Source organism: Homo sapiens, chromosome 11 (assembly GCF_000001405.40).
Source record: "Homo sapiens chromosome 11, GRCh38.p14 Primary Assembly".
Lineage (NCBI taxonomy): Eukaryota > Metazoa > Chordata > Mammalia > Primates > Hominidae > Homo > Homo sapiens.
Genome location: NC_000011.10, coordinates 540045 through 560964, shown reverse-complemented (window position 1 = coordinate 560964; position 20920 = coordinate 540045). Strand labels below are relative to the sequence as shown.

General features: G+C 62.2%; 2 protein-coding genes and 1 long non-coding RNA gene across 21 annotated transcripts in view, besides 8 other annotated features; 1 reads left to right on the top strand and 2 right to left on the bottom strand.

Annotated features, from left to right (window-relative positions):
• Nucleotides 1–226: 226 nt before the first annotated feature.
• Nucleotides 227–6115, top strand: LMNTD2 (lamin tail domain containing 2). Of its 7 annotated transcripts, none has more exons than NM_173573.3 (14): nucleotides 227–282; nucleotides 1986–2109; nucleotides 2199–2351; nucleotides 2717–2804; nucleotides 2926–3081; nucleotides 3325–3393; nucleotides 3478–3566; nucleotides 3868–4130; nucleotides 4377–4473; nucleotides 4590–4773; nucleotides 4850–4969; nucleotides 5035–5231; nucleotides 5462–5660; nucleotides 5854–6115. In NM_173573.3, the coding sequence occupies exons 1-14, from the start codon at nucleotides 249–251 to the stop codon at nucleotides 5983–5985; spliced, it is 1905 nt and encodes a 634-aa protein (NP_775844.2). In that variant the 5' UTR covers nucleotides 227–248; the 3' UTR covers nucleotides 5986–6115. The 7 variants fall into 7 exon arrangements, with proteins under 7 accessions (NP_775844.2, XP_047282669.1, XP_047282668.1 ...); XM_047426713.1 differs by having other exon boundaries at nucleotides 2911–3081; XM_047426712.1 differs by having other exon boundaries at nucleotides 227–1618.
• LMNTD2-AS1 (LMNTD2 antisense RNA 1) lies at nucleotides 858–1703 on the bottom strand. Of its 2 annotated transcripts, none has more exons than NR_147608.1 (2): nucleotides 1282–1488; nucleotides 858–1186 (listed from the first exon to the last, which is right to left on the bottom strand). It is a non-coding gene; the product is annotated as an LMNTD2 antisense RNA 1 (long non-coding RNA). The 2 variants fall into 2 exon arrangements; NR_147607.1 differs by lacking the exon at nucleotides 1282–1488 and adding an exon at nucleotides 1489–1703 and having other exon boundaries at nucleotides 859–1186.
• Nucleotides 3454–4290: an enhancer, noted in NCBI's record as "H3K27ac-H3K4me1 hESC enhancer chr11:556675-557511 (GRCh37/hg19 assembly coordinates)". NCBI's record gives its function as "activates a minimal SCP1, AML or CMV promoter by ChIP-STARR-seq in primed H9 embryonic stem cells {active_cell/tissue: H9 hESC(primed)}" and the evidence as "EXISTENCE:reporter gene assay evidence [ECO:0000049][PMID:30033119]".
• LRRC56 (leucine rich repeat containing 56) overlaps nucleotides 6053–20920 on the bottom strand; it is a 48451-nt gene continuing 33583 nt past the window's right edge. For 7 of the 12 annotated variants that reach the window (XM_047426336.1, XM_017017167.2, XM_011519875.3 and 4 more), the window contains 11 exons: nucleotides 20104–20294; nucleotides 19341–19428; nucleotides 16185–16245; nucleotides 10967–11063; nucleotides 10693–10893; nucleotides 9663–9834; nucleotides 9138–9314; nucleotides 8998–9062; nucleotides 8733–8875; nucleotides 8263–8396; nucleotides 6053–7002 (listed from right to left, as the gene is read on the bottom strand). In XM_047426336.1, coding sequence (XP_047282292.1) covers nucleotides 6689–7002; nucleotides 8263–8396; nucleotides 8733–8875; nucleotides 8998–9062; nucleotides 9138–9314; nucleotides 9663–9834; nucleotides 10693–10893; nucleotides 10967–11063; nucleotides 16185–16245; nucleotides 19341–19428; nucleotides 20104–20280 — 1629 coding nt within the window. In that variant the 5' untranslated portion in view covers nucleotides 20281–20294 and the 3' untranslated portion in view covers nucleotides 6053–6688. Of the gene's footprint in view, nucleotides 7003–8262; nucleotides 8397–8732; nucleotides 8876–8997; nucleotides 9063–9137; nucleotides 9315–9662; nucleotides 9835–10692; nucleotides 10894–10966; nucleotides 11064–16184; nucleotides 16246–19340; nucleotides 19429–20103; nucleotides 20295–20795; nucleotides 20888–20920 lie in introns of all 12 variants that reach the window. The other 5 variants (NM_001441286.1, NM_001441285.1, XM_011519876.2 and 2 more) reach the window with 4 other exon arrangements.
• Nucleotides 11182–11999: an enhancer, noted in NCBI's record as "H3K4me1 hESC enhancer chr11:548966-549783 (GRCh37/hg19 assembly coordinates)". NCBI's record gives its function as "activates a minimal SCP1, AML or CMV promoter by ChIP-STARR-seq in primed H9 embryonic stem cells {active_cell/tissue: H9 hESC(primed)}" and the evidence as "EXISTENCE:reporter gene assay evidence [ECO:0000049][PMID:30033119]".
• Nucleotides 11182–12818: a biological region, named in NCBI's record as "H3K4me1 hESC enhancers GRCh37_chr11:548147-548965 and GRCh37_chr11:548966-549783".
• Nucleotides 11949–12149: a silencer, noted in NCBI's record as "peak1148 fragment used in MPRA reporter construct". NCBI's record gives its function as "represses an SCP1 promoter by STARR-seq MPRAs in K562 erythroleukemia cells {active_cell/tissue: K562}" and the evidence as "EXISTENCE:reporter gene assay evidence [ECO:0000049][PMID:32103011]".
• Nucleotides 12000–12818: an enhancer, noted in NCBI's record as "H3K4me1 hESC enhancer chr11:548147-548965 (GRCh37/hg19 assembly coordinates)". NCBI's record gives its function as "activates a minimal SCP1, AML or CMV promoter by ChIP-STARR-seq in primed H9 embryonic stem cells {active_cell/tissue: H9 hESC(primed)}" and the evidence as "EXISTENCE:reporter gene assay evidence [ECO:0000049][PMID:30033119]".
• Nucleotides 15599–16100: an enhancer, noted in NCBI's record as "H3K4me1 hESC enhancer chr11:544865-545366 (GRCh37/hg19 assembly coordinates)". NCBI's record gives its function as "activates a minimal SCP1, AML or CMV promoter by ChIP-STARR-seq in primed H9 embryonic stem cells {active_cell/tissue: H9 hESC(primed)}" and the evidence as "EXISTENCE:reporter gene assay evidence [ECO:0000049][PMID:30033119]".
• Nucleotides 16603–17105: an enhancer, noted in NCBI's record as "H3K4me1 hESC enhancer chr11:543860-544362 (GRCh37/hg19 assembly coordinates)". NCBI's record gives its function as "activates a minimal SCP1, AML or CMV promoter by ChIP-STARR-seq in naive H9 embryonic stem cells {active_cell/tissue: H9 hESC(naive)}" and the evidence as "EXISTENCE:reporter gene assay evidence [ECO:0000049][PMID:30033119]".
• Nucleotides 19475–20297: an enhancer, noted in NCBI's record as "H3K4me1 hESC enhancer chr11:540668-541490 (GRCh37/hg19 assembly coordinates)". NCBI's record gives its function as "activates a minimal SCP1, AML or CMV promoter by ChIP-STARR-seq in primed H9 embryonic stem cells {active_cell/tissue: H9 hESC(primed)}" and the evidence as "EXISTENCE:reporter gene assay evidence [ECO:0000049][PMID:30033119]".

The following is a 20920-nucleotide window of genomic DNA, read 5'->3' as shown; positions in this document are numbered from 1 at the left end:
ACCCGGGCCCCGCGCCCCCATTGGCCCGCGGTCCGCACGCCCCGCCCCTAGCACCCCTATTGGCTGCTCAGCGCGGGCGTTCCGCCCCCTCCCCGCGCCCATTGGCTGCCTCTGTCACGCCCCTCCCCGACCCATTGGCTCGTCGCCGCGCCCCGCCCCCCCCGAGACTACAGGTGTGGGCGGGTCGGAGGGGGGCGCCGAGCCGCAGTCCCCGCCCCCACCTCCCGCCTACCGCGAAAAACGCGGAAATGCGGTGGCTGCGGCCCGCGGGCAGGCGTCGGGGTAGGTGTCTGGCCCCGCTCCTGGGCCGACTTCCTCAGCAGCCTTCTAGTGTGGCGGGTTCCCGCCCAGGAAGGGTCTCTGGCTTGAGATCCCGCAACCCCCGCCTGCGTCCAGGGGCAGCGGGGCCAGCCCCTCCCCTCGCTTCCCGGGCCAGCCTTTGGGGCCTACCGCAGCTGCAGTAGTCTGGACGCGCAGGGGTCGCGGGGTCGCAGGGTCACCAGTCCCGGCGAGGGAGGTGGAGCCCTGCGGAGCTGGCGGGCGCAGAGTCCTGGTGCGGGAGGTGCCCGCTCAGAAGGCCCGGACTCTAGCTGAGGCTCTTCTCCGACACCTTCCTGCCCCTTTTGGACCCAGTGCCAGGCCATGCACACAGTGAAGCTGGCTGGAAGCCGCTCCTTCACCCCCTACCCTACTGTCCCGCCCAGGGCCCCGCAGCCTCGCGGTCAGCTGTGTGGGCCATTGATTGTTCTGCCCAGCTCAGAAAGAGTTGTGGGCGTGGGCCTCCTGCCCGCCTGTCTCCTGTGCTCCCCCAGGGAGCCCTTACATAGCCGAAAGTTGCAGAGATGAAGGGTGAAAGCTGGAATGATTGGGTTTTAATGGGTCAGGTCTGGGACCTGGCTTTTCTCCTGGAGCAGAGGGAATACTTGTCATGGTAATGGGGTAGCCCAGAGGGTGTGGACACGGCTGGGAAAAGTGAGGCTTCAGTTTGGGGGTCAGGTAGGTGAGTGCCTGTCACTGAGGTCAAAGGAGCTGTGGGCTGGGCCTGGCGGTGGAGGCGGGTGCCTGTAGTTTCAGCAAGTCAGGAGGCGGAAGTGGGAGGATCACCTGAGCCCAGGAATTCGAGGTTAACGTGCGCTGTCATCACACCGAAGCATTCCAGCCTGGACAGCGGAGCAAGACCCTGTCTCTAAAGAATTAATTATTAATTTAAAAACAGGCTGTGGGCAGGAGTGTACTATTGCCAGTTAGCGTTCAGCACAGTCCCCAGCTTGTCACTGTTACCTGTCTGCTTCCCCCACACACCCATGGCTATGCTGGGCTGGCTCACAGGCAGCAGTGCCCCCCTATTTATCCCGCTGCTGCTGCCAGGCTAGGTAGGGGATGCTGGGGCCTCCCTCAGGGTGTTGGTCACTAAGTGGTCCCCCCGCTAAGCTGAGCAGTGGCTCAGCCTCTCACACCTCCTCCAGGCTGGGCTGGCCCAGAACTCACCTAGGGGCCTGGTCTGGGGTCTCCCTGGAGGCTCCTGGTAACAAACAGCCCCACCCCTTCTGGGTGCTGGTATCCATGGCAACGGTATACAGCCCTTCCCTCCCAGGCCTGCTTGGAGGTCGGGCCTCAGGTGAGTGCTGGGGGTAGGGCCCTGAGCTGGGGGGACAAGAGAGAGAAAGAGGGACACCACATCACAGGCAAAGGGCCAGCACCTGGGTGGCAGGGGTACACGCCAGGGACATGTCGGGTGGTGACCTGCTGCGCCAGCCTGGTCAGAAACACACGGGTGTGGACACCCACATGTGGGTCCCTTCAGAGAGCAACGCTCTGTGAGTAAGTGGTGACGCCTGGGCTGCTCCAACCTGTGTGGCCACACGAGGCGCACACGGCAGACGGGCCCCCCACCCCTCCCAGCTCCCGAAGAACATTGAGAATGGCCCCCAAGTCTGGCCAGGAGGTTGAAGAAACCGAGGAAGAGGCTCTCCTGTCCCCCACAGAGCAAGAGTCGGTCAGTGGTCACCTGGGACCTCCAGCAGGCGCACCTGCAGCCCCCGAGACTCCCACGTGCCTGCCAGACACCACGCCCCACCCCGCACCGGTGGTCTGCTCTGCCGACCCGCAGTAAGGAGGAGAGGGAGGACTGGTGAGCCTCCTGGGCCAGGTGGCCAGGGGCCGGCCTGAGTAAGCAGCAGGGTCTGCTGCCGCTGCAGGTTGGCTCTTGAGTCCCTGGACCCTCGCACACTGCGGCTGCTGTGGAGACAGCGAGAACTGGAGATCCAGGCCTTGCGGTGGGCCATCCAGAATGGCGAGGACGCCCGGCTCTGCCACATCCTGGAAGAGGTGGCGGGGCTTCCGCCCAAGAGGTCTGCAGCACAGTCCCCAGCCCAACCCAACCCCGCCCTGTCCTCGCCCGGACTCCTGGTTTCTGTCTGACCCCAACCCCAACCGCTGAGGCAGATCCTTACCCTCATCCTTGCCCGCGCTGACCCTCCACCCTGATCCTAAGTTAACACGCTATAGCCTCCACCCTAACCCTGCGCATGTGGATGGGTGCTAGACCCTTGTCCAGACCAGCCGGAGGCTGGCCAGCCCCAGCGGGGCTGTACTGTGTGCCCTTGGGGCCAAGGTGGCAGTGGAGCCCCTCCTTCTCCCCTCCTTCGCCACTGACCTGACATTAGGAACCCCTGCCTGAGCAGGGTGGGGGCTGCTGAGGTCACCCCTCCTCCAGGAGCTCCCACAGTCAGGAGAAACTCCTGCAGAACCAGGTCCAGAAGCTGATCCAGGAGTTGAAGGAACAGAAGGAGCGAGCCCAGTGGGTGAGGCAGGGGCACAGGGAGTGGGCAGGGTCCTGGTGTTGGGGAGCCAGGCTGGGGCTGGCCTGGGGGCCTTCTGCAGAAGACACCCCCCCACCACCAACCACAGGCCCTCTCGGAGCAGGAGAAGGAGCACCTGGAGGAGCGGCTGCTGCAGACCACCCGCACGCTCCAGGAGATGGAGGCCGAGCTGCAGAACTTGCAGAAGTCCTGCCTCCTGCAGCTGGCCCGCTCCTCGTGGGTGGGCCGCATGCTACGATCCCAGACTGGCAGTGTGGAGGTGAGCCTGTCCCCCAAGCCCTCCTGCCCCAGGCTGCCCTCCCCAGCCCTCCCCATCTCGTCGGGTGCCTCTGCTGGGGCGCCCTGGCCTGCCTGGAAGCCTGCCCTGCTCAGGTGCCTCTGGAACTCTGGGCTCCAGCAGGGAGGAATCAGGAGGCCTCAAAGCACAGGTGAGGTCAAAGAGGAGAGGTGCTGTAGGGGAGCACCCAGCCCCTGCCCACTGGCTTCCGGTCCCCTCTTGCAGGTAGTGACGGCAGAGACTCTGATGGACCCAAGCGACCTCTCTGAAAACATTCAGGCCCCCACCGGGGAGGTGAGCTAGGCCTCCCACGTGTGTGGTCTGGTATCTGGAGCCCTGCGGGAGGGGAGGACCATGTGCCTCTTGCTTCCTGGCCAGGGCTTTCGGCTGGAGGACGTGGATTGGAACAGCGTTGCCCGCCGGTATCCCAACCTCTTCACCAACATGGAGCCCAGCTCAAAGCAAAAGTAACTGCACAGAGCAGGGACTCCCCAGGGGCCAGAAGGGAGGGCTCACCTTGGCAAGTGAAGACGCAGGACACTAAAGGACCATTTAGTGTCCCTGGATAAGTCTCTTAAACCTTCCAATGCGCGTTCTCTGATCTGTAGAATGCGTTGGGGTTGAGGCAGCCATCACTGTCCTGCCATGAACTGAGCCTGGGTACTGGGAGGCAAGAGGGGCTCCCTGCTGCACTGCCTTGTGAGGCTGGACGGGGGCAGGGCTGGGGTCTGGAGCTGGAGTGGCCATCAAGCAGAGCGTGGTCCACAGGCAGCCCCGGCCCTGGCCACAGCTGGACACAGGGAGCCCAGAGTCCTCTGGAAAGCATTCCGAGCGGCATCACAAGACCGTGGAGTGGGGCTCCCTGCCCTGTCTGAACACCAGCAGCTCAGGGGGCGCTGACTCCGACTCCAGCAGCTGCCGGCCGGGCCTGCCTTCCTTCGTGCAGGTGATAGGGCACCCGCCCCGGGACCACCGCGCTTCCTCCGAGCAAGCGCTGGTGCAGGCCGGCAGCTACAGCAGGGACTCAGAAGGTGCAGTGGGGCGGGTCTCCCCTGGTTACCCTTCACCCACCCTCCACCCCCTCAGAGCTGTGATCTCACTCAGAGCCCTGGAGGTGGCCCTCCAGCCCCCAAGGTCCAGCCACCTTTCCTGCCCCATCTGACCCTGGCCCTGCTCCCTGCCCCGCCAGGCGTTGCAGGCCTGTTCTGACCTCACGGGGAACATCCGGTGGGGACTCCATTCGAGGGTCCCCTCCCCAAAAGCGCTGCTCTCTCTAGATCTCCAGAAAACCCACTCACCCAGGCACGGCGAGCCGGTCCTGTCGCCCCAGCCCTGCACAGACCCGGACCACTGGAGCCCGGAACTCCTGCAGAGGTAAGGGGCGAGTGACCCAAGCCTCCGGCGCCGGACTGGAGCTGGTTTCCGGGCGGGGCGCGCAGCTGTGCGGGTGGACCGGCCGCATCTCCTCACAGCGTCTCCTCTCTTCCCAGCCCGACAGGCCTGAAGATCGTGGCTGTGAGCTGCCGGGAGAAGTTCGTCCGCATCTTCAACCCGTCGCAGGAGAGCACGGCCGACCTGAGCGGCATGGTGCTGAAGCAGCTGGTGCGCGGCTTCCCGGAGCGCCTGTACCGCTTCCCGCCGGGCACGCTGCTGGCCCCGCGGCACCACGTCACGGTGCGCCCCGGCCCGGGAGCCCGGCCCCGACGGCCCGGCCCGGCCGCCCCTCACCCGCCGCTCCACGCCCCTCCAGGTCTGGGGCGAGGCGACCCGCAGCGCCAAGAAGCCGCTGCGCGCGTCCTCGAGCCGGGAGCCCGTTCCCCTCCTCTCCATCCGCGGCTGCGCGACGCTGCTCCTGAGCCCCAAGGGCGAGGTCGGTGCGGGTCCCCGGTGGGGCGGCCGGGGCTGGGGTGTGGGGGTGACCGACGCGCCCCGCAGGTCCTCAGTGAGCACCGGATCCCACGCCGCGAGACTCCGGCCCCGAGGGTCTTCGCCGACGGCACCGACTTGTCCATCGACCGCTTCCCGCTCCCTGAGGCCGGGCCCGGCGCCGACACCCGCAAGCCGCCGCGCCCACCTCGACCCCTGCGCAAAGGCCGGGTGCGGGAGCCCCGGGTCAGTCGCCGGAGACCAGGGTGGGGACCGCGGGTCCCCGGGATCTGGCCTCCCTCCCCAGGCCCCGACCCAGCAGAAACGGTCCCTCGTATCCCCTCGCTAGGACGGACCCCTACTTCCCCAGGCCCCGCCCCGGCCGCCCCCTGGTCCTCCAGTACGCCCCGCGGCCCCTGCCCCGCCCCAGGCGCGGAGCCCTCTAGGGCCGCCTTTCCCGGGCCGGCCGCCGCCCTCACGACCCTCGCCCCACCAGGACGCGGGGCCTGCTGCCCCCAGTGAGCTCGGGGAAGCTCTTCCACGCGCGGGAGGGGCCTGCGCGGCCCGAGAACCCCGAGATCCCCGCGCCGCAGCACCTGCCCGCCATCCCGGGTGACCCCACCCTGCCGTCGCCTCCCGCAGAGGCCGGGCTGGGCCTGGAGGACTGTCGGCTCCAGAAAGAACACCGAGTTCGGGTGAGTGCGCGCTTGCGGGTGCGCCCCCTCCTCTCCCTCCTCGTTCTCCTCCTCTCCTCTCCCGCCCCTCCCTCCCCTCTGTCTCCTCGTCCCCTCCCCTCCGCTCTCCTCCCCGCCCCTCCCCTCTCCTCCCCTCCCCTCCCCTCCCGTCCCCGCCCCGCCCCGCGCGCCTCTCAGCCCCCGCGCCCCCCAGGTGTGCCGGAAGAGCGTGGACCGTAGCTGCCCCCTGGTGGCCCTGTCGGTGCAGAACACGGCGGAGAGCAGATTCGGCTTCCGCTTCCTCAGCTGCCTGCCGGTCACCGCGGACACCTGCCGCGGCGCCTAGGGGCGGAGGAGTGGGGCCGGGACCGCGAGGGAGGGCGCGGGCGGGCGCCGGGGCTGGGCGGGCTGTGTCCGCTGCATCATTTATTGAACCAACGTGGCCTACAAAGTAAACCGCATTTCTGTACACCTGAGAGCTGGAAATGTTGGTTTGGGTTCCGGGGCGTCCTGCGCCAAGAGGAGGGAACGGGCCGCCCTATCGCAGTGCGGGAACCCTACAGATCCCCCGGAGACGGGAGGCCTGGACCGCACCCCCGGCGGCCTCAGGCGAGCAGCTGGGACCTTGGGCCACTGCGGCCTAGGAGGTGGCTCTTACCCTGGGGCCGGCAAGGGAGTGGTGGACTCGCAGCTCCAGCCCCTGCCCCTCGGCCATGCCCAATTCTAGCAGGAGAGGCCTCTCACAGGCCTGCTCGGGTGACCACCCCCCACCCCCGTGCCCGCGGGAAAGCCTGGCCCTAAGGAAGGGCTGGGGAGCCGGACCCTCCCTCCCCAGGCCAAACCCAGTTGGGGGCCTAAACTGGGTTCCAGCCTCTGCTGCCTCCCTGGCTGGTCCCAGTCCCCCACTCCCCTCCACCAAGAGGGTCCTCCCCAGGGCCAGGCACTCCTTCCACCCCCCAACACACCCGCCCAGGTATTCTGTGCTCTGTGACCACATATGTGGGCAAGTCGTGGCCCCAGCACAGGGAAGCCTGGCAGTGGGGGCTATATTAAGTGGGGACGGGGCTGGGGTGAGAGAGTTCAGCTGCCCTGGGAGGTCTAGCTGCTGCATCTGGTGCTGGCTTTGGGCCAGGACATCCCTGGGCTCGAGGGCTCAGGCGTGAGGCCACCTCCAGGGCTCTCAGGACAGGCACTGCAGCCACCCCATCACCCAGGCCAGGCCCCCAGCTGCCCAGGACTCGGAGCCGACGCCCCCTGGACTGCAGGTCTGTCGACCACCGCGGGGAGCTGCTGCCAGAATCTCGTGGCCTTGGGTGCTTGGGAGGTGAAGGGACCAGGTGCTGGCTCGAGGTCCCGGAGGGCTCTAGAAAGCAAGCAGAGTGATGGGACGTCAGAAAGGCTGTCAGGGAAGGGAGTCACCCGGTGGGGAGGCCACAGCCCACCCGTGGCCCTGCAGCCCCGAGGCAGTGGTCCTTGGGGGTCCACAGGCAGCAGCACCCCTGCACCCCACTTTCTGTGTTCCCAGCCCTGTGACCCCTGACTCGCATGGGCGGGCCCACCTCTGGGGCAGGCAAGGAGGCCACGAAGCCTGGTTCTGGCCCTGGGTCCTCTGTGTCCTGTCCCTGAGAAGGAGACCACAAGGCCTGGCTCTGACCCTCGGTCATCTGTGTCCTGACCCTGAGAGCCTGTTCACTGGCTGACCGCCCCGGGCCGGTTCCCAAGCCTTGGGTCCCCCAGCACCCGCCTCCACCGGTGTCTGGAGCCCTGGCATGCCTTTGTCCTGACCCTGCCCTGAGGCCACTGCAGCTCCCCTCCTCCTGGCCGCCCTGCCTGCCCTCCCTCCACCCCTGCAGGTCACGGCCACTAGGTAACCAGCTGTTGACCCCTCTGTCTGCCCCCTCCACAGACACCCACCACCATATGGAAGAGCAGAGGCTTGGCCTGCCCTGTTCCCTGCCCATCCCAGCCCCCTTAACCAGGCTCCTGCACAGAGGAGGGTCAGCTGCCCACCGTGGGGTCGCCCCTGCTTACACTGCCCCCTGCCCGGCCTGCCTGCCCGCTGAGGGAGGGTCCTCTCTGCTTTGCAGCTGTGATCACACTGAAGTCAGTGTCCTTCGTAAAGGGCACTGCATGGCTTAATTCTATGTCCCCAAGTGCGCGTGCCATCTTCAGGGTGAAGCGGCAGCACCCTCCTGCCTTGGTCTCCCAGTGGGGCTGCTGGCCGCCTTTCCTCCCAGCCCCCGGACTCATGCCTGTGTCCCTGAAAGCTGCCCAGTGGCCATGTTCTGCCTGCTGGTGCCCTGGGGTGGCTCCTTCTTTCTGTCCCGACTCCTCTGGACTCTGTTCATACCCCCTTTTGTGGAACGCCTCTCTTTCGTCCAGCCCGGGTGGCACACAAGGTCACAGGGATTGGACCGTGGCTTGGGAGAGGACTTGGGTTGGGCCTCCCTTGGTCGTGAGCCCCCCACCCCCAGAAGGGGGCCTCCCTGTTACAGTCCCTCTCAGAGCATGGCTGAGGAAGCAGGGCCAGGTTGACACATCTGATCTGGGGTAAGGGCCCCCCTATAGAAGTGGGGTGTTGGTCACTCCCAGGCACTGGGGGGCAGGCGGGCAGGCTCAGTACCTGAGGCCAGGCTTGGGGGGCTGGAGGGAGTCTTGGGCTCTGCCTGGTGCACTTGCTCTTCAGGGACCCTCCGTGGGCCCCAGGGGGCTACAGCCCCTTCCTGTTGGGACTCCGGGTGCCTATAGGGGAGGGGGCTAGGGTGGGGAGAGGAGGAGAAGCTCCAGCCCTGATCCCCCCACGGGACAGGACACATAGGGATGGTCCATGAGCCTTGGGACTGGGGATGACTCAGCCAAGGTAGCCCCAGCCCTGATCCCCCCACGGGACAGGACACACAGGGATGGTCCACGAGCCTTGGGACCAGCGATGACTCAGCCAAGGTAGCCCCAGCCCTGATCCCCCCACGGGACAGGACATGCAGGGATGGTCCACGAGCCTTGGGACTGGGGATGACTCAGCCAAGGTAGCCCCAGCCCTGATTTCCCCACGGGACAGGACACACCCAGTGGAAGAGCTGGAGGGACACCCACCGCACGCCATGTTCCCTCCAGGCCCTGAGCCCAGCCAAGGCCAGGAAGTCAGAGCTGTCTGCAGGGTCAGGCTCTGGGGTGGAAGTGCTGGCGGCCGGATCTCCTGGCCTGTGTTGGGGCAGCTGCTCGGGGGGCTCCCTGGCCTGGGGAGGAAAAGGGACTGCTTTAGGGATTCTGGCCCTGGAATGGCGGCAGGGCAGGGCACTGTCAGGGCCGCAACCCTGGACACTGGTTCTCGTGGGGGGCTGGTCCCTGTGGGCTGTACCTGGCACTGGTGCCTACGCTCCCGCAGGCCCTTGGTGGGGTTCCCACAGAGGACTTGGCCAGCACCTGCAAGAGACAGCATGGCTGGGCCTGGTTCGGGGCCGAGGGGCTGCAGGGTCAGCTTTGAGGCAAGTCAGTTACCATGGGTGAGGCTGCTGGTGTTATCTTCTGGGGCCAGGTCCTCAGAAAGCAGGCCTTCAGGCAGGGGGCCCCCACGGACCAGCAGGGAGAAGGGCCAGGGCCTGGAGGCCCGGGACTGCGTCTCAGGCAGGGACAGCTCGGGGTCAAGTCTCCGGATGGGGGCTCCACGGGGACAGTCTGCCCGAGGTTCAGAAGCAGAGGTCACCAAGGCCCAGCCTGAGAGCGCCCCCCAGACTCTGTCCACAGACCAGGGGCCCCAATCCCCATGCTGCATGGCCTGAGGCTGGCCTCTCACGCTGCAGCCTTCTAGAGAGGCCCTCATCTTCAGACCTTCCTCTCCCTCTGTGGGCTGCTCAGAGACAGTGTCCTGGCCTGGGGCCGGGTGTGCACAGCTCTGGGGACCGGGGTCAAGGCTGGAGAAGCGCATGAGATGTGGCTATCCGTTTCTGAGAAGCCTGGGGTGGGGGCCTCTTCCTGGGGGGAGCTGGGGCTCAGCAGTGGGTCCTCCGGGCGCAGCTGCCGTACCCAGCGGGGGAAGGCCGTTGCCCTTCTTGATGGCCTCCTTCACCGCAAGCCAGTCCTGGCTCAGCCGCGGGGGGGCCGGTGGGCCTGTGTGTGCGGCCGGCACTTCGTCCAGGACCTGCAGCTGGGGAATGAGCTTCCTCACCTCTGCCCTGTAGTTGTAGCCCCTGGGCACCTGCAGGGGGAGGGGGAGGGGGAGGGAGGGCAGGTCTGGGTCCAGTGTTTCCTTCCGGCCAGCTCTTTCCCTGGCTCCCTTTCCCAGACCCACCGTGGGGCAGGGCAGGGGCCCAGAGGTGGGGATGCTGCCTACCCTGCAGGGGTGGGCTTGGGTCACTCTCACACCCCAGGGACTGAGGGACTGGGCTCTCACCTGCTCAGGATGTAGGACCCCACTCTCCAGACCCAAGGCCGGGTCCAGGGATGCCCTCTGGCCCATGGAACTGCCCTCAGCTCAGGGCTCTGGCCCACGGAGCAGTAGCTACTGGGCACTGGTAGACGCTGACCTCAGCATGTGGCAGCACCAAGCAGCAGCTAATGAGGCTAGCACTGTGAGCTCAGGGCAGATGTGCCCTGTGTAGGGTCTGTGAGCTACGCCAGGGCCTGCACGCACAGGTGTGCCAGCTCTGAGCAGGGCACGCAGAGCCCCGAGATACTGCATAGGGTGGTCTGTGGGGCCTGTGGGGCTGGAGGTGGCTCTGGACAGGGCGTACACAGGTGTGTGTGTGCACACATCCGTGTACACGTGGTTCTTTGTGTTTCCACGTGGCTTATGTGTGGACCTCACAGGTGCATATGTGGGTTAAGGGACATGGCGTGTGTGCAGGTGACCCTGTGGGATCTAGCGGGGCTGGTCCAGGAGGGTGTCCTGGGAGCCGTCAGACTTCCAGTGACAGAGGAGGTGAACTCATGGTGAGCAGGCCATAGGGTGCGGGTGGGCACAGAAGTACCTGGCCAGAGGAGGGGCCCCGGGGCTGGAGCCACAGGGAGCCTCTCCTGGCCATGCACATGCTGGCCGGGTGCCCGGGACACGCACCTTGTTGGTGGGGCCAGGGGCCGGCTGTAGGCACACCAGGTTGCCCTCCAGGGTGAGCATGGCCAGGCGTGGGCACAGCTGCAAGTAGCGCACCTGCCCCAGGTCCTCCACGCTGTTGCCCTCCAGGTCCAGCACCTCCAATTGTTCCAGCAGGCACAGTGGGCTCAGGTCCGAGATGTTGTTGTAGGAGGCGTAGAGTTCCTGGGCAGCGCGGGGCTCTGAGCCAGGGCCCGGCCCAGCCCAGGCCTCCCCAGCCCAGGGTGCCCAGACTCACCTTAAGTGCTGGCAAAGAGGCGATGCCATCCAGGTCAGCGAGGCCACAGCGAGCCAGCCACAGCACCTGCAGGTGGCCCAGAGACGTGCCCAAGTCCCTGCAGAAGGCAGGGTTTGGTGGTCAACATGTGCCCAGCCCTGTGCTCAGCCACCACCTGCCTTTGGCTGTCTTCAGGGGTAGGGGCAGGTGTGACCACCTATGGTGGCCTCTAGACTGAGGAAGGGGCTCTCTGCCTTGGCCTTCTGGCTCTGGTGTGGGTACAGTGTCCCCCACCTTCTCCAAGCCCTGGAGGGCCTGGCTTGGGGAGCTGCCCTCGTGACCGGTGGCTCAGCTGTGCCCAAGGCGCTGCCCTCATAGTGGGTGGCTCAGTCCCCTCCCTGGCAGGCTGCAGGCATCACCTTTCTCTTTCTAATTGTCTCCTCAGTAGCGTTTGGGGCACTCGAATTTGGAGTAAGGGTCTGGAGTGCTGCCTGGGAGCCTGAGCCCCTGGACACCGATGTGGGGGGCTTCGCTGGAGGCTGACCCCGTGCTGAGCTGGCAGCTTTTGTGGGGACCAGCTGCTGGAGGTGGCGGTGGGTCAGGGCGGCTTGATGTGTGCAGGGACAGGTTGCTTCCTGCCGGGCCCACCCTGTTCCCACTGTAGCCACAGTGACTTCACCATGCGCTGTCCCCAGGGACCCTGCACCTGCCCCTCTCGGCTGGGAGGCCGTCCCTTCAGCGCTGCTACGCCATCTCTGCACCTCTCCTTGTGAAAGGGCCACCTGAGCTCACAGGCTTTCCCTGAGGAGCCACAGATTCCTCCAGGGCTGGGTGATTTCTTCGGAAATCTTCTTTCTGTCCAGTTCACGGCACCCGTAGGCTGTGACTCACCTGGGCTTCATTCCGCCCACTGTGTTTTCAGCTTCCTTCTGTGGGCCCTCAGGTGCATTCCCGGTGGTCCGTCCTTTCGCGCTGTGGAGTCAGTGTCTGTCCTCAGCCTGCTGCCTTCAATGGCTTTTCCACTCCGCTCTGAATTGGCTGGGATTTGTGTCTAGTGATTTCTTCAAGAGCAGCTAATGGAAACCCCTTGATCTCTGACTCACAGATGTTTGCTGGCTGTGAGCTTATGCAGCCATTAGGCTGGGTGTCAGACTCTCAGTTCACGCCTCTTCCCAGGAGGCTGCAAAGCCTTTCGTTCCAGTGTCCACTGTGGCGACGTCTAAGGAGCACTTCGTTATTTCTGTCCTTAAAAAACCACTTGAGGCCGGGCGCGGTGGTTCACGCCTGTCATCCCAGCACTTTGGGAGGCCGAGGCAGGCAGATCACGAGGTCAGGAGATCTAGACCGTCCTGGTTAACACGGTGAAACCCCATCTCTACTAAAAATACAAAAAAATTAGCCAGGCGTGGTGGCGGGTGCCTGTAGTCCCAGCACTTTGGGAGGCTGAGGCAGGAGAATCGCTTGAACCGGGGAGGTGGAGGTTGCAGTGAGCTGAGATTGCGCCACTGCACTCCAGCCTGGACGACAGAGCGAGCCTCCGTCTCCAAACAAACAAACAAACAAACAAAACTTGAGGCTGAGCACAGTGCTTCATGCCTGTAATCCTGGCACTTCAGGAGGCTGAGGTGGGAGGAGCACCTGAGCCCAGGAGGTCGAGGCTATTGTAAGCCATGGTCGCACCACTGCACTCCAGCCTGGGCGACAGAGTGAGACCCTGTCTCAAAGAAAAAAAGACAAGTCAATCTCTTTTCTTGGCTGCTCCAACTTTTTACCTTTATCTTCATGCCAGTAACTTTATTAGGATATGTTTCAGTGCCAATAATTCAGTTTGTTTTTCCTTTCAGTCTTTTATTTATGACAAGTTCCTTTGAAATTTTTTAATTTTTAATTTTTTTTTTGAGATGGAGTCTCTGTCACTCAGGCTGGAGTGCAGTGGCACGATCTTGGCTCACTGCAACCTCTGCCTCCCAGGTTCAAGCAATTCTCCTGCCTCAGCCTCCCGAGTAGCTGTGATTACAGGTGCCCGCCACCACACCCGGCTAATTTTTGTATTTTTAGTAGATACGGGGTTTCACCATCTTGGCCAGGCTGGTCTTGAACTGCTGACCTCATGTTCCACTCGCCTTGGCCTCCCAAAGTGCTGGGATTACAGGTGTGAGCCACCGCACCTGGCCTGAATATATTTTTTATACAATTTATGACCTAGTCATTTTTCCTTTGGAACTATTTTGTTTTGTTACAGGTAGTGCATCATATTTAATTTTATAGTACCTTCCACTGCTCTTTTATATTTTGTGTATTTATGTGCTTTTTATATTTTTTTGTTGTTCTTAGAGCTAATTTGTTGGTCTTAACAATAGAGGCTTCTGGCCGGGCGTGGTGGCTCACGCCTGTAATCCCAGCATTTTGGGAGGCCGAGGCGGGCAGATCATGAGGTCAGGAGATCGAGACCATCCTGGCCAACGTGGTGAAACCTCGTCTCTACTAAAAATACAAAAAATTAGCCGGGCGTGGTGGCAGGCGCCTGTAGTCCCAGCTACTCGGGAGGCTGAGGCAGGGGAATGGCGTGAACCCGGGAGGCGAGATTGCAGTGAGCCGAGATTGCGCCACTGCACTCCAGCCTGGGCAACGGAGTGAGACTCTGTCTCAAAACAAAAAAAAACACAAAATAATAGAGGCTTATTTGTTAAGCTAAAAAAAAAAGTACAGCCATCTCCATTAGAATATCATTTACTCTTGTATTAGGGGCACTTTTTTTGTTCTTTGTTTTTGTTTTTTACGGTTTTTTGAGACGGAGTCTTGCTCTGTCACCCAGGCTGGAGTGCAGTGGCGCGATCTCAGCTCACTGCAACCTCCACCTCCCAGGTCCAAGTGATTCTCATGCCTCAGCCTCCTGTGCAGCTGGCATTACAGGCATGCACCGCCAAGCCCAAGCCCAAGCCCAGCTAATTTTTTTTTTTTTGAGATGGAGTTTTGCTCTTGTTGCCTAGGCTGGAGTGCAATGGAGCAATCTTGGCTTACTGCAACCTCCGCCTCCTGGGTTCAAGCAATTCTCCTGCCTCTGCCTCCTGTGTAGCTGGGATTACAAGCGCACACCATGCCTGGCTATTTCTTTTTTTTTTTGTATTTTTAGTAGAGATGGGTTTTCACCACGTTAGCCAGGCGGATCTTGAACTCCTGACCTCGTGATCCGCCTGCCTTGGCCTCCCAAAGTGTTGGGATTACAGGTGTGAGCCAACCCGCCTGGCTGGGAGACATGTTTCTAAGAAGTCCATTTTCCAAACCCATCCTAGTTTCTCGTTCGCGGTGTCGTCTGGGTGCCTGCTGCAGGCCTGACTTCATGTCCAGGCCCCTCTCTGTTCCAGTTCTGTGGGCTGCCCACTGTGTCTTTGACCCCAAAGTGTTTTCCAACTTTCTTCCATTTCCAGATCTTCATGTATTTTTTTTTTTTTGAGACGAAGTCTCACTCAGTCGCCCAGGCTGGAGTTTAGTGGTGCGATCTTGGCTCACTGCAAGCTCCGCCTCCTGGGTTCACGCCATTTTCCTGCCTCAGCCTCCCGAGTAGCTGGGACTACAGGCGCCCACCACCACGCCCGGCTAATTTTTTGTATTTTTAGTAGAGACGGGGTTTCACCATGTTAGTCAGTATGGTCTCAATCTCCTGACCTCGTGATCTGCCTACCTTGGCCTCCCAAAGTACTGGGATTACAGGCGTGAACCACTGTGCCTGGCCTACTTTATTTTTTTGAGGCAGAGTTTCGCTCTGTTGCCCCGGCTGGAGTGTAGTGGTGTGATCTCAGCTCACTGCAGCATCTGCCTCCCGGCTCACTGCAGCGACTCTCCTGCCTCAGCCTCCTGAGCAGCTGGGGTTACAGGCATGTGCCACCATGCACGGCTAATTTTGTATTTTTAGTAGAGATGGGATTTCTCCATGTTGGTCAGGCTGGTCTCGAACTCCTGACCTCAGGTGATCTGCCCACCTCGGCCTCCCAAAGTTCTGGGATTATAGGCGTGAGACACCGTGCCCGGCCCATTTTGATATTTGTTTGATAAACAGAAGTACAAATAAGGAAAATCAAGAAAACATTCAAAGAGAGGTTGCTTAATGAATACCCTTATCCTCATCTGGAAATAACTAGATGTGGCCCTTGGAGCCCAATTCACACAGCTGGAGAATGTTCTAGAATTCTGCCTGGAATTCCCCTGCCTTATGCTGCTGGGAACAGGCTACATAAAACCAGCAGCGTTTTCACAAAACCCACTTTGCCCAAACCCCCAGAATAAAGTCGGATGTTCCTTCAGCCTTGTTCTTTCCCTTCCGATGACGTGAGAGCCGCCAACGTCTTCAGCTCCGAATGTTGTGAGTTGCTGTGGGGCACGGAGCTTCCTGTGCTTCTCCTGGGAGCTGGTCCGGGTTCTGTACACAGGCTCTGCTGTGCCTCTCCCGGGAGCTGCCGTCTGGTCCGGGTTCTGTACACAGGCTCTGCTGTGCCTCTCCCGGGGGCTGCCGTCTGGTCTGGGTTCTTTACACAGGCTCTGGCTGTGCCTCTCCCAGGGGCTGCCGTCTGGTCTGGGTTCTACGTGCAGGTTCTGGCTGGTGGTTGCCGTTCTTGCCCAAACCCCAAGCTCGTGGCCTCATGGTGCAGCCAAAGTCCTGGGCTGCAATGAGCCGTGCGGGGGCCAGAAGGCCCCCAGTCCTTGGTTGGCTTTGGGGTGTTCACCAGGGACACCTCAAGGTGGGAGCTCTGGGCCCAGGTCAGGGGCACCTTTGTGGAGTTTGCTGGCCACACGACCTGGCATGACTGCCTTGGCCCTGGCCCCAGCTCTGAGTGAGGTGCTACCTGCAGCAGGGGCTCCCACCCATTGCAGACACAAGAGCTCCATGTGTAGGGGTCACACGGCAAGTGGGGGTACATCTGGGCTGAGCCAGAGACCACAGGGCATAGGCAGGACCCCCGGGAGTCAGGCTGGCCCAGGACCTCGTCCTTTCAACAAAGACCCTCTCAGAGACCCCCTCACACCTGCCTGAATGTCCCAGGCTCCCCCCACCTGCCCATCCACCCTCCACAGGGTCACGTGGGGTCAGGCAGCCAGCAGGATGGAGCTCTCTAGACCCCTGGGTCCCTGGTCCCAGCCCAAGTCCCCCCACTCCCACCAAGTTCTCCCCCCATCCCTGCAGGGCCTGTCCCATCGGACCCCCTCATGGCAGGGCCCCAGCCCACCCCCCTCAGGCGCTCACCTCAGGGAGCCCAGGTGGCTGCCGTTCAGCTTCAGTTGGTCCAGGTTGGGCAGGTGCACCCCTGTATGGCCACAGGAGGAGGAGGTTGGCCCGGCCCCTCACCCCGCCCACCTCTGCACCCTCCTTCACCCCTAGGCATCAGCACCCCCGGCCCCTCACTGCTCGTGGGCCAGCCTCACAAGCCTCCCTCCACACCACAGGAGGGGTTACGTGGCACCCAGGAACTGCTCCAGGGCTGCGGGCTCCTCTGGCCACCAAAGGGGTCTGCTGATTCTATGGGGCCTGGTAGAGGGTCTGGCTCAGTGGCCCTGAGCCCCCAAAGCCTCACGGCTCCGCGCCCCTCGTCTGTAGCCAGCCTGAATGCAGCACAGCATGGAGGGGTGTCCACACAGCAGGGAAGCTCAGACCATTGTCTATGGACTGCAGGAGGCCACTGGGCTCCAAGAGTTGGCTCAGAGAACTGGGGCCAGGCTGGCGTGGCTGGGTGGTGCTCCCTTGGCTCAAAGTCTGGGCCCCACCCCCAAGCTGCCTCCACACCCCTCCCCTGGCATCTCAGACCGTCATGCACAGTCCCACACACAACACAGGACCAGATCACTGCACGCCCCAGCCTGTGTTTCTGCACAGCCCAAGGCCCCAGGAAAAGGCTCTGCGTTCGGAGTCTTTTGTAGGATGGGGCATATGCCCCTGTGAGGCAGACAGAATCCCTGCATTGTGAGAAGGGTTGCAGAGTGGCTGGGTGCGGTGGCTCACGCCTGTAATCCCAGCACTTTGGGAGGCTGAGGTGGGTGGATCACTAGGTCAGTAGATCGAGACCATCCTGGTTAACACGGTGAAACCCCGTCTCTACTAAAAATACAAAAAATTAGCCGGGTATGGTGGCGGGCGCCTGTAGTCCCAGCTACACGGGAGGCTGAGGCAGGAGAATGGCGTGAACCCGGGAGGTGGAGCTTGCAGTGAGCCGAGATTGCGCCACTGCACTCCAGCCTGGGTGACAGAGCGAGACTCCGTCTCAAAAAAAAAATAAAAGAAGGGGCGCAGAGTGTGTGGGTACAGGCGCTCCAAGACCATGCCTGTGGGAAGGGCTCGAGTGAGTGCAGATGGCTGCGGGTTAGCCACACACAATGGTCAGGGACTTCACAGGCCATTGCAAAACAATACAAGACCAATCAAGATGGGCCTGGTTCACCTCAGTCAGTTGGAGAAATGCAGACAGCCAGTGATCCTGGGTGGGAAGACGCTTCCCTGCTCTAAAGGTCACTGTGGGGCCTGGCGTGGTGGCTCACACCTATAATCTCAGCACTTTGGGAGGCCGAGGCGGGTGGATCACCTGAGGTCAGGAGTTCAAGACCAGCCTGGCCAACATGGTGACACCCCATCTGTACTAAAAATACAAAAATTACTCGGGCGTGGTGGCACACACCTGTAATCCCAGCTACTCAGGAGGCTGAGGCAGGAGAATTGCTTGAATTCAAGAGGCTGAGGTTGCAGTGAGCCAAGATTGCACCACTGCACTCCAGCCTGGGCAACAAGAGAGAGACTCTGTCTTAAAAAAAACAACAATGAAAAAAACAAAAAACAGGCCAGGCGCGGTGGCTCATCCCTGTAATCCTGTAATCCCAGCACTTTGGGAGGCTGAGGTGGGTGGATCACTTGAGGTCAGGAGTTCAAGACCAGCCTGGCCAACATGGTGAAACCCCGTCTCTACTAAAAATACAGAAATCAGCTGGGCGTGGTGGTGAGTGCCTGTAATCTCAGCTACTCGGGAGGCTGAGGTAGGAAAATTCAACCTGGGAGGCAGAGGTTGCAGTGAGCTGAGATTGCGCCACTGCACTCCAGCCTGGGCGACAGAATGAGACTCCATCTCAAAAAAAAAAAAGTCACTGTTGGGACAGCTGGTGACATTTGAATATGGTCTTCAGCATGGCTAAGAGTCATGTACAGGTGTAATTCCTGACTTTGGCCATCGCACTGCATTTAAGGGAATGTCCTCCCTCTCAGGAAATACACACTGAAGTGTCAGTAGATAAAGGGGTGTTGCATGTCCAACTCTCAACTAGTTCAGGAAAAAGAACAGTGGCCTGACGCGCTGTGCACGCACGGGAGGGAGCAGGGGCCAGCACCACCGTGAACACGGCGAAAGAGAAGGAACCTGGCGGAGGGCGGGGAGGGAGTGTTTTTTTTTTTTTTTTTTTTTTTTGCGACAGGGTTTTGCTCTGTCGCCCAGTCTGGAGTGCAGCGGTGCAATCTCAGCTCACTGCAGCTTGACCTCCCCACCTCCTATGAGTAGCTGTGACTACAGGTGCCATCATGCCTGTCTAATTTTTTATTTTTAGACACAGGGGTCTTGCTATGTTGCCCAAGCTGATCTCAAACTCCTGGGCTCAAGTGATCCATCCACCTTGGACTCCCACGGTGCTGGGATTACAGGCGTGGCCCCTGTGCCTGGCTGAGATTATTTCAAGATGAGTTTCAGGAGACACCAAGTGGCACTCAGCACCATTTTGGCCTTTGTTCCTCTGTGATGCTGGCGTGGGTGTGTGGGGCACTGAGCGTGCCGGGGGTACTGGCGTGGGTGTGTGGGGCACTGAGCGTGCCGGGGGTACTGGCGTGGGTGTGTGGGGCACTGAGCGTGCCGGGGGTACTGGCGTGGGTGTGTGGGGTACTGAGCGTGCCGGGGGTACTGGCGTGGGTGTGTGGGGTACTGAGCGTGCCGGGGGTACTGGCGTGGGTGTGTGGGGTACTGAGCGTGCCGGGGGTACTGGCGTGGGTGTGTGGGGTACTGAGCGTGCCGGGGGTACTGGCGTGGGTGTGTGGGGTACTGAGCGTGCCGGGGGTACTGGCGTGGGTGTGTGGGGTACTGAGCGTGCCGGGGGTACTGGCGTGGGTGTGTGGGGTACTGAGCGTGCTGGGGGTACTGGTGTGGGTGTGTGGGGTACTGAGCGTGCTGGGGGTACTGGTGTGGTGTGCGGGGTGCTGAGTGCATTGCCCTCTGCCTGTACCTGACACAGACCTCAGGTCAGAGGCCAACCCTAAGGAAGCCGATACGCGGCCCGAGAGGTGAGGACAGCTTTGTCGTCATAACCAGGAAACGTGTGTTGTTTACAGGGAGGCGTGGCCGTGGCCGTGGCCATGGCGGGGTGGGAAGAGGCTCACCAAAGTTCCCCAGGCTGCCCTCACGAGTGTCCACACACATCTCCAGCGTCCTCACCAGCCGAAGGTCATCCACCCGGGCCAGGGCCTGCTGTAGAAACCAACCGGGGGTCAGCGCTGGTCCTGGCTCTCCCCACTTTAGTTCCATCCTTGCTTCTGGCTACAGGACTCTGGGGCTCCCGCTGGAGCAGGCACCGACGTTTCCCTGCCTGGGCCATGTTGGCCCTGGCCTGGGTGGTGGGATGGGAGTGGATGTGACAGGAGCAGAGCTTGTGCTGCACTTGGCTGGGGGGTCATTGCGGGAGAAGGACCTGCCCTGGGGGCTGCCCGTCTCCAGAGAGACTCCCAGGGCAGACACACCACACCCGGCACCCAGAGCCCGGACCGCGCCGGGCCCTGCCCTGAGCTTTGAGCCATCTGGTCTCCCGCTTGAGTGAAGGACCCCCCTCTTTGGTTGGAGGATAATGGATGCTCAGCCCCTACTTGTGGGTTCTGGCCTGGCTCAGTCCTGTCTGTGACCCAAATGCCTGGGGACGTCTGTGTCACTGAGCACCTGGTGTTGCTGGTGTTTTGGGGCCTGGTAGGGGTCCCAAGGGCAGAGTGGGTGGAGCAGACCCAGCTGCAGGGGCTGGGCTGAGGCCAACCATCAGCAGGCAAGACCAGCAGGAGGGGGACAGAGGGCAGGCTGGACCATCAGCAGGAAGGAGCCCTGGGATGTCACCCCACGGAGGCCTCTGTGGCCACAGCCCCCAGCGCCCACACTCACCAGCCGGGCAGGGGACAGGTACTCTTCCACCAGCTGCTCTCCAAGTCTGTCCCTCTGACTGCCAGGGCCCTTGCTCTGTGGGCAGGGGTTGTGCAGGCCTTGCCAGCTCAGCTCCCGCACCCGGACGCTGGAGGTGCTCCGCCGAGGCCCACGGGATCTGTCCCAGCCCAGATCCATTCACATGTCACCTGCTGACAGAGGCACAGTGCAAAGCTCCACGCTGTTGCTCCTCCTCCTCTGCAGCCCGGCTGAGACCCTGGCCCAGCCCTCAACCCCCCGCCCCCGTCACAGCAAGCCCTTGGCACCCACCCCCACCCCGAGCCTAGAGAAGGCTCCTAGCTTGGCTGGGCCTCATGGGGCCCTTGTCTGCTTAGTTCCAGCCTGGAGGGCCTCACGCTCCCCTCCCCCAGCCTTGGCTCGACCCCCTCTGCTTCGTAGGACACCCTCCCTGTGTTTCTGCCCATCCTCAGGGTCCATGCAGGGAGTGCTGGCTTCAGGCCTCCCCACCTGAGGCCCACAGGGGCTGTGAGCCTGGGGTGCCGGGCCAGCTGCCGGTGGCTGTGGGGCTCCCGGCACTGCCTCAAGCTGTGGGCTATGGGTCCTTCTCCACCTGATGGTCTCTGAGCCTGGGGTCCAGGATCAAGTCCCAGGCCTTCCCCTACCCCAGCCCTGTGCCAGCCGAGCCCCTTCACCTGCAGGCAGCTGCCCTCTCCTGCTGTGGGTCAAACATCCAGGCAAGGAGGTGGCATGTACCCTCAGGCAGTACCTGCAAGAGTCAGAGTGGCTTCCTGGCCAGGTTACTGTGCCCATGGGAGCC